General features: G+C 44.4%; 1 pseudogene; it reads left to right on the top strand.

Annotated features, from left to right (window-relative positions):
* HNRNPA1P32 (heterogeneous nuclear ribonucleoprotein A1 pseudogene 32) lies at positions 10,081–11,351 on the top strand (annotated as a pseudogene).

The following is a 15,886-nucleotide window of genomic DNA, read 5'->3' as shown; positions in this document are numbered from 1 at the left end:
TCAGCCTCCTGAGTAGCTGGGACTACAGGTGCGCACCACCAAGTCTGGCTAATAATAATTATTATTATAGAATGATAAATAATATGTAATAATTATCATTATTTTATTTTGGTTTTGCTTTGTTATACAGGCTGGTCTCAAACGCCTGGATTCAAGTGTCCTTCCTACCTCAGCCCCACAAAGGGCTGAGATTACAGGTGTGAGCCACCACACTTGGCCCCACAGGCACTTTTTAATGTAAAGATGACTAATATATAAAACAGGCTTCCAAGAACAATTATAAAAACTCCCTCCCTAGAGAGACAAGACAAGGACCTGTGTATTCATTCAACAAGTGCTATAATGAACCCCTAACAAGCGCACAGCACTAAGCTAGACGCTAGGGCAGACATGAAAGAAATGCAAGAGTATCTGACAGGAGAGATGGAATTAACATGTGAAAAGCAGCCGTCACACATTCATCCAGCACACATGTGAGGGCCTCCACTGCGAAAGACACGTTGCAAGACTCCAGTGTATTATAAAATAAAGTGAGAGTTCTGCTTCTAGGAATATGGCAGACTAGACGTCCTGAAACTCTGTTATAAAGCCTTAAAATTTTAGAAAAAATACAAAGTTCAATATTTTGAAATGAATGGATAAGGTTGTAGGAAGCTCGCGTGGAACAAAGCAGAAATACAAGCTCAGGGGGCCAGCCTGCAATGATGCTGTGGCCGACTTTAAAATACCTTCCAACTCCAGATGGCTTTGGAAATCTTTTTATCCAGTGAAGTCTCACTTGATGTGTTTGTACATAAGTTTCTGCATATCTGATGGCTGTCAGGGGCCCCGTATAATGTCTTGAACATGCCTAAAATACTTTAAAATACCTTCCGACCCCAGGTGGCCTAACCTGTTTGAACAGCCTTGTTTATGGACACGGGAGATAAGCTTTGAGCTCCATTTGAACAGAAGTCAAATCAATGAACACTCCTCATCCCAAACACACACACACACACACACACAGCGCCCAGACCCAGGAAACGGTGAAGTGAGAAAAATTCTACCTCACTGGCTGGGTGTGGTGGCTCACCCTTGAAACCCTGTCTCTGCTAAAAATGTAAAAATTAGCCAGAAGTGGTGGTGGGCGCCTCTAGTCCCGGCTACTGGGGAGGCTGAGGCAGGAGAATTGTTTGAACCCAGGAGGCGGAAGTTGCAGTGAGCTGAGATCGCCCCACAGCACTTCAGCCTAGGCAACAGAGTAAAACTTTGTCTCAATAAAAAAAAAAAAAAAAAAAATTGACCTCACTGAAGCAGAGGGCAAAGAGACAGGTTCTATTTCTGCTTTGGCTCTGGGGTCATGTCTTTCAGTTCTCCCTGGGCATTCATGGACAATCTTCATGTTGATGGGGTCTGCGTAGCCTGGAAAGCCACAAGAGGAGACAACAGGGATCTGGCTGATAATGTCTGCAGTGCCAAGCAGACACAAACACAAATACTTTCTGGAAAAATGTACACTCAAACCAACTAAGCCTTAAGTATTAAATAATCCCCAGAGTAGAGTTCTAAATACTATGAGCTCAGCTGGGCACAGTGGCTCACACCTGTAATCCCAGCACTTTGGGAGGCCAAGGCGGGTAGATCATGAGATCAAGAGATCGAGACCATCCTGGCCAACATGGTGAAACCCCATCTCTACTAAAAATACAAAAATTAGCTGGGTCTGGTGGCACGCTCCTGTTGTCCCAGGTACTCAGGAGGCTGAGGCAGGAGAATCACTTGAACCCGGGAGACAGAGGTTGCAGTGAGGTAAGATCACACCACAGCACTCCAGCCTGCTGACAGAGCGAGACTTTTGTCTCAAAAAAAAAAAAAAAAATCATGAGGAAGAATGCACAGAAAGAAAAAACAATAGAACTAAATCCAAACTTCAACTAACACAACTAACATATAAAAAGATAATGACTACAATTAAAAATCGAAACGCAAACACCAGATTAGATACAATTAAAGACCAAATTAGTGGGATGGAGGATACTTTTGAATAAATTACTCAAAATGTACCCTACAGTGCCAAAAATAAAAATAAAAAATGAAAGTAATAAAGAGGTTAAGACACATAGCAGAGAAGGCCCAGCATGCATTGAGTCAGGAAAGCAGTAGCAGAGAATGTGTGTGAGAGGCAATATTAGCAAGGGTAGGACTCAGAATTTTGAGAATTGATACGGCCAGGTGTGATGGCTCATGCTTATAATCCCAGCACATTGGGACGTGGGAGGATTTTTTGAGTCAGGAGTTCAAGTCTAGCCTGGGCAACATAGTGAAACCCTATCTCAACAAAAAATACAAAAACGAGCCAGGTGTGGTGGCACATGCCTGTGGTCCCAGCTACTCAAGAGGCTGAGATAGGAGAATCGCTTGAGCCAAGAGGTTGAGGCTGCAGGAAGCTGAGATTGTGCCACTGCCCTCCAGCCTGAGTGACAGAGCAAGACCCTGTATCAAAACAAAGAAAGCAGGGTGCGGTGGCCTATACCTATAATCCCAACACTTTGGGAGGCTGAGGGGGGTTGATCACTTAAGGATGGGAGTTTGAGACCAGTCTGACCAACATGGTGAAACCCCGTCTCTACTAAAAATACAAAAATTAGCCAGATGGGGTGACATGCACCTGTAGTCCCAGCTACTTGGGAGGCTGAGGCAGGAGAAAACCTTGAACCAGGGAGGTGGACAGAGATCATTGATGTAATACATTCAGCAACTCCCACAGATCCCAAGCAGAATAATTGTTAAATGCATCCGGGGGCCAGGCACTGTGGCTCATGCCTGTAAGCCCAGCACTTTGGGAAGCTGAGGGTGATGAATCATCTGAGGTCGGGAGTTTGAGACCAGCCTGGCCAACATGGTGAAACCCTGTCTCTACTAAAAATACAAAAATTAGCCGGGCATGGTGGCGGGCGCCTGTAATCCCAGCTACTCAGGAGGCTGAGGCAGGAGAATCTCTTGAACCCAGAAGGCAGAGGTTGCCTTGAGCTGAGATTGCACCACTGCACTCCAGCCTGGGTGAGAAGAATGAAACTCTGTCTCAAAAAAAAAAAGAAGCATCTGGAAAGAAACAGCCAGAGAGAAAAGACATATGATCTACAAAGGAGTGAAAATAAAATGAACAGCTAATTACTCAGCAGCAAAAGTGAAAGTCAGGAAACTGTAGATTATTATCTTCAATATTAGTGCCGTGAGAAAGTGAGTATTGACAGGAAACTGCCTGCCCAAACAAGGCAATTCTTAAAAGAAAAAAGTAAAATTGTGACATCTTGAAGATGTTTTTGAAAGATTGTTTTTGAAAAAGCAATACTGAGAATAATTACCATTAACAGACTCTCAAAAACTCTAAAATATACAATTCCCAATAAAAGGAAATGATCACAGAGAAGTCTGAGATACAAGAAAGATTGGTGAATAAATAAAATGTGGGAACATTTTTTCTTTTGAGATGGAGTTTTGCTCTTCTTGCCCAGGTTGGAGTGCAATGGCGCAGTCTCGGCTCACTGCAACCTCCGCCTCCAGGGTACAAGTGATTCTCCTGTCTCAGCCTCCTGAGTAGCTGGGATTACAGGCGCCTGCCAACGCGCCCGGCTAATTTTTTTTTTTTTTTTTTTTTAGTAGAGATGGGGTTTCACCATGTTGGCCAGGCTGGTCTCGAACTCCTGACCTCGGGTGATCCACCCACCTTGGCCTCCCAAAGTGTTGGGATTACAGGTGTGAGCCACCGTGCCCTGCTATTTTTTTTTTTTTAAACTGAGTCTTAATCTGTTACCCAGGCTGGAGTGCAGTGATGTGATCTCGGTTCACTGCAATCTCCATCTCCCAGGTTCAAGTGATTCTCCTGCCTCAGCCTCCTGAGTAGCTGGGATTACAGGTGCCCTCCACCATGCCCAGCTTATTTTTGTATTTTTAGTAAAGACGGGGTTTCACCATGTTGGCCAGGCTGGTCTTGAACTCCTGAACTCAGGTGATCCACCCACCTCGGCCTCCCAAAGTGCTGGGATTACAGGCATGAGCCACCATGCCTGGCCTAAATGTGGGAAAATATAAATTCACTGATTATGTTAACCAATATAATGGTTAACATATATTGTGTTGAACATTATATGTGTGAAGTTGAACATTACTGGACAACAATGGTATGTTAACTGTGAGTGGAGAGATTGATGTTAAAGCATTCTGAGGTTCTTTGATTTGGGAGCAGAATAAAGTTTATTAGTTAACTTTGGATTAGGTAAAATATTCATGTGAAATATTAATAATCAATTGCAACCAATAAGGTAAGGAAAAAATGGCGGGGGGAAGGGAGTATCTCAATCAATGTGGTTAAATCTCAAAAACATAATTTTGTGCCAAACCAAGTTTACATAGTACAATAAAGCTTAAAAATAAGCAATATTCAGTAATGTATTTATTACTTAGAGATAAGTAAAAATTGGCAAAATTATAAAGAAAGGCAAAGAAGTAATTAATGAAAGGCAAAGAGGTAATTAACAAAATCAGGATCATAATTAGCTCTGGGAAAAGAATGGGAAAAGGTATTTGGTAATGTTTATTACTTAAGTTGGGTTAAAATATTTATATTCTTTTATTAGCATTTGTATTAATATTAGTGTTAGTATTATTTGAAATGTACATAGGCATTATAGAAACTGCTTCTTTATGGGGTTTTTATTTTTTATTTATTTATTTATTTATTTATTTATTTTTTTTTTTTTGAGACGGAGTCTCGCTCTGTCGCCCAGGCTGGAGTGCAGTGGTGCCATCTTGGCTCACTGCAACCTCCGCCTTCCAGGTTCAAGCAATTCTCCTGCCTCAGACTCCTGAGCAGCTGGGACTACAAGCATGTACCACCATGCCCAGCTAATTTTTGTATTTTTACTAGAGATGGGGTTTCACCAGTTTGGCCAGGATGGTCTCAATCTCTTGACCTCATGATCTACCCACCTCGGCCTCCCAAAGTTCTGGGATTACAGGTGTGAGCCACTGTGCCCAGCTTAGAAACTCTTTTAAAATTTGAAGTATGTTTGTACTTACATTTCTTTGCTATTGCAGGCCGGGCGCAGTGGCTCACACCTATAATCCCAGCATTTTGGGAGGCCGAGGCAGGTGGATCACCTGAGGTCAGGAGTTTGAGACCCGCCTGGCCAACATGGTGAAACCCAGTCTCTACTAAAAGTACAAAAATTAGCCAGGTGTGGTGGCACTCAGCTCACTGTGGTCAGCAGTGAGCTGAGATTGTACTACCGCAATCCAGCCTGGGCGACAGAGCAAGACTCTGTCTCAAAGAAAAAAAAGAAAAATTTGTTTGCTATTGCTGAGAAATACACTACAGACACCAAAACTCAGCGATTATAGACAAGAATCATTTACAACCACTCATATTTACACAGATGGTTTGGGGCTCTGCTAATCTAGGCTGGGTTGGACTAGGGGGCAGAGAAGGATACACTGCTTCTTGGGAGGAACTATAAAGTCACATGTGGCCGGGCACGGTGGCTCATGCCTGTACTCCCACCACTTTGGGAGGCTGAGGTGGGTGTATCATCTGAGATCAGGAGTTCAAGACCAGCCTGAACGACATGGTGAAACCCCGTGTCTACTAAAAATACAAAAATTATCTGGGGGTGGTGGTGCGCGCCTGTAATTCCAGCTACTCAGGAGGCTGAGGCAGGAGAATCACTTGAACCTGGGAGGCGGAGGTTGTGGTGAGCTGAGATCATGCCACTGAACCCCAGCCTGGGCGACAGAGTGAGACTTTGTCTCAAAAAAAAAAAAAATTCACCCTCGATATTTCACATAGGTTCTTTTCTATTTTCCCTAAGTGTCGGCCAGTCTGAGAAATAAAGGGAAAGAGTACAAAAGAGAGAAATTTTAAAGCTGGGTGTCCAGGGGAGACATCACATGTTGGCAGGTTCTGTGATGCCCCACAAGCTGCAAAACCAGCAAGTTTTTATTAGTGATTTTCAAAAGGGGAGGGAGTGTACGAATAGGATGTGGGTCACAGAGATCACATGCTTTCAGAGCAACAAAAGATCACAAGGCAGGAGGTCAGGGCGAGATCACAAGGTCAGGGTGAAACTAGAATCACTAATGAACTTCCATGCCCCACTGTGTACGCATTGTCATTGATAAACATCTTAACAGGGTTCAAGAGCAGAGAACCGGTCTGACTAGAATTTGTCAGGCTGGAATTTCCTAATCCTAGCCAGCCTGGGGGCGCTGCAGGAGACTAGGGCGTGTTTCATCCCTACCTACGTCTGCATAAGGCAGACACTCTCAGGGCAGCCATTTGAGAGGCCCCCCCGGGAATGCATTCTTTTCCCAGGGCTGTTAATTATTAATATTCCTTACTGGGGAAAGAATTCAGTGATACTTCTCTTACCCGTTTTTGGTAATAAGAGAAATATGGCTCTGTCCTGCCTGGCCCACAGGCAGCCAGACTTTAAGGTTATCTCCCTTGTTCCCTGAAAATCGCTGTTATCCTGTTCTTAAGGTGCCCAGATTTCATATTGTTCAAACACACATGCTCTACAAACAATTTCTGTAGTTAACGCAATCATCACAGGGTCCTGAAGCGACATTCATCCTCAGCTTATGAAGATGACGGGATTAAGAGATTAAAGTAAAGACAGGCATAGGAAATCACAAGTATTGATTGGGGAAGTGATAAATGTCCATGAAATCTTCACAATTTATGTTCAGAGATTGAAGTAAAGACAGGCATAAGAAATTATAAAAGTATTAATTTGGGGAACTAATAAACGTCCATGAAATCTTCACAATTTATGTTCTTCTGCCATGGCTTCAGCCGGTCCCTCCATTCGGGGTCCCGGACTTCCCGCAACAAACATCAAACTTGCCATGCTAACTATTTTTTTTTTTTTGGATTGCAGAAACGTATTAAAATTGAAAGACATTGTTTAATTAATCTTCTGTGCCATGAGAATCCATCAGGTTGTCTACAACAAAGACCACTGGAAGGCTAAGGATCACTTGAGCCCAGGAGTTTGGGGCTGTAGTGAGCTATGATAGGGCTACTGCACTCCAGCCTGGGTAACAGGGCAAGACCCTTTCTTAACCATTGTTAAGTGTACAGTTCAATGCTATTAAGAACATTCATGTTGTGCAGCCATCGCCACCATCCATCTCCAGAACTCTTTGCATCTTGCAGAACAGAAACTCTGTACCCATTAAACAATAAGCTCCCTGACCCATGTCCCCTCCTCCCCAGCCCTTGGTGACCACCATTGTACTTTCTGCCTCCCTCTATTAATCTGACACCTGTAGTGCCTTACATAAATAGAATTATATGGCATTTATCTTTTTGTGAGTAGCTTATTTCACCTAGCATAATGTCAAGGTTTATCCATGTTGTAGCATATGTCAGGATTTCCATTCTTTTTAAGGCTGAATAATGTTCCATTTATGTATATACCACATTTTGTTTAACAATTCATCTGTAGGCAAGGCATGGTGGCTCATGCCTGTAATTCCAGCACTTTGGGAGGCCAAGGTGGGTGGATCATTAGGTCAGGAGTTCAAGACCAGCCTGGCCAACATGAGGAAACCCCCCATCTCTACTAAAAATACAACAAATGGCCAGGCACAGTGGCTCAAGCCCGTAATCCCAGCACTTTGGGAGGCCAAGGCGGGTGGATCATGACGTCAGGAGATCGAGACCATCCCAGCTAACACGGTGAAACCCCAACTCTACTAAAAAAATACAAAATTTAGCTGGGCTGGTGGCGGGCGCCTGTAGTCCCAGCTACTCGGGAGGCTGAGGCGGGAGAATGGTGTGAACCTGGGAGGCGGAGCTTGCAGTGAGCAGAGATCGTGCCACTGCACTCCAGCCTGGGCGACAGAGCAAGACTCCATCTCAAAAAAAAAAAATTAGCTGGATGTGGTGGTGCATGCCTGTAATCCCAGCTACTCAGGAGGCTGAGGCAGGAGAGTCTCTTGAACCTGGGAAGCAGAGGCTGCAGTGAGCCAAGATTGCACCACTGAACTCCAGCCTGGGCGACAGAGCAAGATTCTGTCTCAAAAAAACAAAACAAAACAAAAAAATCTGTAGATGGACACTTGGGTTGCTTACACCTTTCAGCTATTATAAATAATGTTGCTATGAATATGAGTGTATATCTATCTGTTCAAGTCCCTGCTTTCAATTCTTTGGGTTATATACCCCAAAATGAAATGGCTGGATCATATAGTAACTCTTTTTAATTTTTGGAGAAACTGCCATACTGTTCTCTACAGTAGCTGCACTGCTTTACATTCCCACCCACAGTGCAGAAGGTTCCAGTTTCTCCCCATCTTCACCCACGCTCATTGCTTTCTTGTTGTTTTTTGATAATGGCCATCCTAACGGGTGGGACATGGTACTTCATTGCCATTTTAATTTGCATTTCCCTAAGGATTAGTGACGTTGGGCATCTTTGAGCATCTTTTCATGTGCTTAGAGGCCATTTGTATATCTTCTTTGGAGAAACGTCTGTTTAAGTCCTTTGCCCACTTTTTAACCCAGTTGTTTTCCCCTATCTTAAATGGGAAGTTTTTCCCCTATTTTCTGAGAGTTTTACAGTTTTAGCTCCACATTTAGGTCTTTGATCTTTTTTTATTTTTATTTTTTGAGATGGAGTTTCCCTCTTGTTGCCCAGGCTGGAGTGCAGTGGCACAATCTCGGCTCACTGCAAACCTTCACCTCCTGGGTTTGAGCATGTCTCTTATTTCAGCCTCCCAAGTAGCTGGGATTACAGGTGCACACCATCACGCCTGGCTAATTTTTTGTAATTTTAGTAGCGACAGGGTCTCACCATGTTGGTCAGGCTGGTCTTGGACTCTTGACCTCAGGTGATCCACCCACCTCGGCCTCCCAAAGTGCTGGGATTACAGGCATGAGCCACTGAGCCCGGCTTTTGATCCATTTTTAGTTATTATTTATATGTGGTATAAGGAAAGGTGTAGTGTTATATACACATGCATATGTTTTTGTCCATGGTTCCTGGCTCAGAAACCCCATAGCCCTTGTTAGAGTCTTTCCTTTTAATGTCGGGTGTGTTAAAATGAGCCCCTGGGGCAGGCCTCAGGAAACAGAATCTCTCTGTCCTACTCTTGCCTTCCTTTCATCTGCCCGAAGGCAGGACTCTAATTTTCCCCCACCTTTCTTATTGTGGGTCTTAAGGCCCGCCCCAGAGAAAGTCCTACCCTATATCCTGGGGAAAGGAATGCTGATGTCATGAAGCTTCCATAAAAATCCAAGAGAACTGGGTTCAGGGAGTTTCCAGATAGCTGAACACATGGAAGTTCGTAATAAACTGGTAAACATAAGTAAGTGTTTCCCTGAGTTCTGTGAGCTACTCTAACAAGTTAATTGAACCCAAAGAAGGGGTTATAGGAACCCCAACTTGAAGCCAGTTTGGTCAAAAGTTCCTGAGGCCCAGACTTGTAACTGAGGGAAAGGAGGGGTCAGTCTTGTGGGACTGAGCCCTCAACTTGTGGGATCTGATGCAATCTCCAGGTAGATAGTGGTGGAATTGAATTGGAGGACACCAGCTGGTGTCCACTGATTGTTGATGGGGGAGAAAAAATCCACATATTTGGTCACAGAAGTCTTCTGTGTTGATTGTTGTGATGTGAGAGCAGAGGAAAAATATGGATTTGAGAGTTATTCCCAAAACCAAAGGGTCCAATTTTGTTCTTTTGCATGTGGATATTCAGTTGTCCCAACACCATTTGTTGAAAAAAAAGTCCTTTCCTTCATTGACTGATATCGCCATCCTTGTCTAAAATTATTTGAACCATATATGCAAGGGTTTAGTTCTGAGTTCTCTATTTTGTCCCATTGATCTATATGTCTGTCTTTATGTCAATACCACACTGTTTTGATTATGGTAGCTTTGTAGTAAGTTTGAAGTCAAGAAGTGTGAGATCTCCAACTTTGTCCTGTAGATGCCAGCTACTGGCAGGGTTAGTCCCTAACCACCTACTGCTTGCTAAATCAACTTTAGAGATGGTAGAGAGTTGCAGGCAACATGTTGGTTTGACAGAATGGGCTCCCTTGCCTTTCTGCTTGTAGATTCCACTGAAGAAGCATTGGTAAAGTCTCTCTTCCCACTGCCATCATGTCTAAGTCAGAGTCTCCTAAAGAGACCAGACAGCTGCAGAAGCTCTTCATTGGAGGGTTGGGCTTTGAAACAACTGACAAAAGCCTGAGGAGCCATTTTAAGCATGGGGAATGCTCAACGAACTGTGAGATGCAAACACCAAGCATTCCAGGGGCTTTGGGTTTATCACATATGCCACTGTGGAGGAGGTGGATGCCGCCATGTATGCAAGGCCACACAAGGTGTATGGAAGAGTTGTGGAGCCAAAGAGAACTGTCTCAACAGAAGATTCTCAAAGACCAGGTGCCCACTTAGCTGTGAAAAAGATATTTGTTGGTGGCATTAAAGAAGACACTGAAGAATATCACCTAAGAGATTATTTTGAACAGTGTGGAAAAATTGAAGTGATTGAAATCATGACTGAAACGAGGCAGCAGCAAGAAAAGGGGCTTTGTCTTTGTAACCTTTGATGACCATGACTCTGTGGATAAGATTGTCATCCAGAAATGCCATCCTGGCTGGGTGCAGTGGCTCATGCCTAAAATCCCAGCACTTTGGGAGGCCGAGGCAGGTGGATCACTTGAGCCCAGGAGTTCAAGACCAGCCTGGCCAATATGGCAAAACCCCATCTCTACTAAAAATACAAAAAATTAGCTGGGCATTGTGGCACACACCTGTAATCCCAGCTACTCAGGACACTGAGGCCCAAGAATTGCTTGAACCTGGGAGGTGGAGGTTGTAGCGGGCTGAGATCATGCCACTGCACTCTAACTGGGGCAACAGAGTAAGACTCTGTCTCAAGAAAAAAAAGAAATACCACCCTATGAATGGTCACAACTTTGAAGTTAGGTAGGGAAGCTCTGCCAAAGCAAGAGATGGCTAGTGCTTCACCCAGCCAAAGAGGTCAAAGTGGTTCTGGAAACTTCGGTGGTGGTGGAGGGGGTGGTTTTGGTGGGTTGTGGAGGAAACTTCAGTCGTCATGGTGGCTTTGGTGGCAGCCGTGGTGATGGTGAATATGGGGGCAGTGGGGATGGCTATAATGGATTTGGTAATGAGGGAAGCAATTTTGGAGGTGGTGAAAGCTACAATGATTTTGGCAATTACAAGAATCAGTCTTCAAATTTTGGACCCATGAAGGGTGGAAACTTTGGAGGCAGAAGCTCTGGCCCCTGTGATGTTGGAGGCCAATACTTTGCCGAACCATGAAACCAAGGTGGCTGTGGCAGTTCCAGTAGCAGCAGTACCTATGGCAGTGGCAAAAGATTTTAATTATTGCCAGGAAAGAAAGCCTAGCAGGAGAGGCGAGCCAGAGAAGGGACAGGGAAGCTACAGGTTACAACACATTGTGAACTCAGCCAAGCACCATGGTGGCAGGGTCCAGCTGCTACAAAGAAGACATGGTTTTGACAAATATATGTATGGGCAAAAAACTCCAAGACTGTATTGATGACTAATTGCATAACAGATTATTTTCAATTTCTGTTCGTTGGAAAGCATAAAGCAGTCCAACAAAGGGCTTTAATGTAGATTTTGGTTTTTGCACCCATGCTGTTGATTGCTAAATGTAATAGTCTGATCATGACCCTAAATAAATGTGTCTTTAAAAAAAAAAAAAAAAAGAATGGGCTCTCTCTTACCAAGGCTGAAGCATTTGCCAGATCAATAGCTGCATCCTACAGACCAGCGTCTATGTTAATCTGCTCTAATGAAGATACTACCCCTGGCCTAGCAACTGCAGTTTGGGTTTACACTTGGGTACGTTTGCAGTAGGTCACTGTCATCTGTCATAATCCATTTATGTTATATAGAAGCTAGACAGGTAATGTGGGTGACTATGATGAGGACTGCTATTCTGACATCCTCTAAGTCTTTGAGGGTGGCATGGGTCACCATTCATCTCATGATTTCAAGGGCTTCTATTTGGCTTTTCCTACTATAATCGCCCTTACTGTAAAAATCAAGAAAAAAGTATAAGGGTTCTATGTGTTAGGTATGTTCATTTCTATCACACATTTGGGAATCCAGGAAATTTCCACTGGGTGAGCCCAGGCACTCAGTGCACCCATTGTGAGATGGACCAGACTTAGCAAGAGGGAACCCAACATGTAGCCTGCAACTCTCTGCCATCTCTGTGATCCCATGGTGCAAGCATTAGGGGGGATGAGGACAGGAATAGCTGGCATCTACTGGCCCAGTCATCCTGTCAACTTGGTTGTTCTCTTCTGTGGTGTGTGCTCTTTGGTGGGTATTAGCGAGTGATACAAAGGTTCTCAGCTGGACGCAGTGGCTCACGCCTGTAATCCCAACACCTTGGGAGGCTGAGGCAGGTGGATCTCCTGAGATCAGGAGTTTGAGACCAGCCTGGCTAACATGGTGAAACCCCATCTCTACTAAAAATACAAAAAAATTAGCCGGGTATGGTGGCTCACACCTGTAATCCCAGCTACTCTGGAGGATGAGGCAGGAAAATTGCTGAACCCAGGAGGCAGAGGTTGCAGTAAGCTGAGATTGCACTACTGCTCTCCAACCTGGGCGATAGAGCGAGACTCCGTCTCAAAAAACAAACAAACAAAACCAAAGATTCTCACACTTTTTGCTGCTTCCCATACATCCAGCCACATGTCTCCCCTCCAGACCTCTTATTTCCAATATTTCCAATGGCCAGGACTCCACTATCTCCATGTGCCCTACTCTGACACATGTCCAGGACAGCAAGTCTCAGCCTGACTCTGCCCTGTATCCAACAGTCCTTGAAAACATGGGCATACCACTTTCCTTAGTTATGGTTACCCAAGTAAATCCTTCGGGGAAAAGATTAGGGAAATAGCTACCCTATGCAATTGTCATGGTGCTGCAGAGCCCTTCTTTATGGTGACCTAGACCTTCCTTCAGCCAGTGAGTTTTTGGTTTAAGAGTTACGCCGGGCATGGTGGCACATGCCTATTATCCTACCTACCTGGGAGGCTGAGGCAGGAGGAATGCATGAGCTCAGGAGTTCAAGTCCAGCCTGGGCAACATAGTAAGACCCAGTCTCATTTATAAATATAAATAAATAAGACCCATTTCAAATCTGGAAATAGCAAAGGGGCTTTCCACTGTGGTGTCTAATCTCAACCTTCTGCTGACATGTTTTTATATCTCTTTTGTATGTATTGGGTAATACCTTTGAAAGTTTCCATCTCTCTTGCCCTGGGACCAGCATGTGCTATTGACCATCTTTATAGGCCACGGGGAACGAGGACCCTCCAGCTAGCTGCTCTTCCGGCTCTGCTTCCTGCTATGGCCTTGACACCCACCTCGCTTCTGCAGGTTAAATGCTTCTATCCGGCATTGCTTTTGCTACTAGAAATCCTGGTTCTGGAGCAGCATGTCTCACCAACCGTCCTGGCCTGCAGAGTCCAGCAGTACTGGTGCTCCCCTAACCCACATTCCTTATCCCCTTGTAAGCAGGGTGTCCTCCGGGGCCTCCCAATGTCGGCTGGTGGTCGTCCTGGTCTTATATAGCAAGTCCATTGCAGCAGGCCCATCTCTCTGAGTCTTCAGATTCCCTCCTCCACAGTAAGCCCATGGCATTTTTAGCATCTCTGCTTCAGCTGGTTGAGGCCCATCACTTATTCCAAGCCTGCAAAGCCATCCCACCAAGACTTGGTCCCTTGGGCCAATGCGATTATAATGGGAGAATCTCTCCATATTGACAAACACTTCCCTTATCCGGCTTTGCATGGACCCACCCTGATCCTGCACGCTCCAGGTCCTCTCCCAGAACGACTCTTGTTCCTGCCAGTACTCAGTAAGCTGGTCTTGCAGCTATTTGTAAGTATAATCCTTCTCCCTTAGCAAGGGTAGCACACTCCCAGTTAGGTCACACTGGGATTTCACCCTGGTGTTTGGTCTGGAGGCCAGGAGGGAAAGTGAAGGCAGAGACTCAGGAAGACAAATGTTATCTTACAAGGGCAACTGGCTCATTTAAGGTACTTGGTGGTGAAGTATTTGAAGCATCTCTTTAAAACCGAAAACAAGATGATGTCCGTTATCATCACTTCTGTCCATTGTATAATAGGTGTACTATCTTGAGCAGTAAGACAGGTTGCCAAAATGAAGGGAATAAGAACTAGAATAGGGGTGGGTGCAATGTCTCACAGCTGCAATCCCAGTGCTTTGGGAGGCCAAGGCAGGCAGATCACTTGAGCCTAGGAGTTCGAGACCAGCCTGGGCAACATAGTAAAACACCATCTCTACAAAACTTACAGAAAATTAGCCAGAAGTGGTGGTGTGTGCCTGTATCCCAGCTACTAGGGAGGCTGATGTAGGAGGATCACCTGAAACCAGGGATATAGAGGCTGCAGTGAGTCATGATTATGCCACTGCACTCCAGCCTGGGTGAATAACTCATTTTTTTAAATGTAAATTATTTAATATTTTAGATTTTAAAATTAAAAGAATTAGAATATGAGAAACAAAATTGTCATTTCTCACAGATAATATGCTTTTCCATATGCAGAAAATCCAAGACAATCAAAAAAGTAACAGAATTATGATATAAACCAGCTAGATTTTTTCTTTTTTTTTTTCTGAGACAGGGGCTTGCTCTGTCGCCCAGGCTGGAGTGCAGTGGCGCAATCTTGGCTCACTACAACCTCCGCCTCCCGGGTTCAAATGATTCTCCTGCCTCAGCCTCTTAAGTAGCCGGGATTACAGGGATGCGCCACCATGCCCAGCTAATTTTTGTATCTTTTGTAGAGACAGCGTTTAGCCCCGTTGCCCAGGCTGGTCTCAAACTCCTGGTCCCAAGTGATCCTCCTGCCTCCCAAAGTGCTGGGATTACAGGTGTGAGCCACTGCACCTGGCCCAGCTAGATTTTTTTTATGTAACATGAACATTCAAATATCAAGTCCATGCCTCTACACCAACAACAAAGGATTAGAAAATGTATTTTCAGAGACAACTTTTATAAAATAAAAAGACTATAAAGTAACAAGAACAAATTTTAAAAATACTTAGAAACCGTTTGTGCATAAAGTCATAAAACTTATTGACATCATCGGGATACTTGATATCAAAAGACAATTGAAGGCCGGGAGCAGTGGCTCACACCCGTAATCCTAACGCTTTGAGAAGCTGAGGCTAGAGGATCATTTGAACCCAGGAGTTTGAGACCAGCCTGGGTAATACAGCAAGACCCCGTCTCTACAAAAAATTTTTAAAGGGTTTGGCCAGGTGTGGTGGCTCACACCTGTAATCCCAGCACTTTGGGAGGCCAAGGTGGGGGAATCACTTGAGGTCAGGAGTTCAAGACCAGACTGGCCAACATGGTGAAACCCTATCTCTACTAAAAATACAAAAAAAAAAAAAATTAGCCAAGAGTTGTGGTGGGCACCTGTAATCTCAGCTACTCAGGAGGCTGAGGCACAAGAATCACTTGAACCCAAGAGCTGGGCATAGTGGTGCATGCCTGTGATCTCAGCTACTCAGGAGGTTGAAGTGGGGGGATCGCTTGAGCCCAAGAGTTCAAAGCTGCAGTGAGCTATGATAACACCACTGCACTTCAGCCTGGATGAATGAGACCCTTTCTCTAAGAATATATATAAATAAATAAGAAATATGTACATTATTAAATATAGTCCTTTGCCTCAATCTGCTCACAATTTTTTTTTTCTTTTTTGAGACAGAGTCTCACTCTGTCACCCAGGCTGGAGTACAGTGGTGTGATCTCAGCTCACTGCAACCTCCGCCTCCCAGGTTCAAGTGATTCTCCTGCC

The sequence above is a fragment of the Homo sapiens genome, chromosome 10, assembly GCF_000001405.40.
Source record: "Homo sapiens chromosome 10, GRCh38.p14 Primary Assembly".
Lineage (NCBI taxonomy): Eukaryota > Metazoa > Chordata > Mammalia > Primates > Hominidae > Homo > Homo sapiens.
This window is presented reverse-complemented; position numbering and strand designations above follow the sequence as displayed.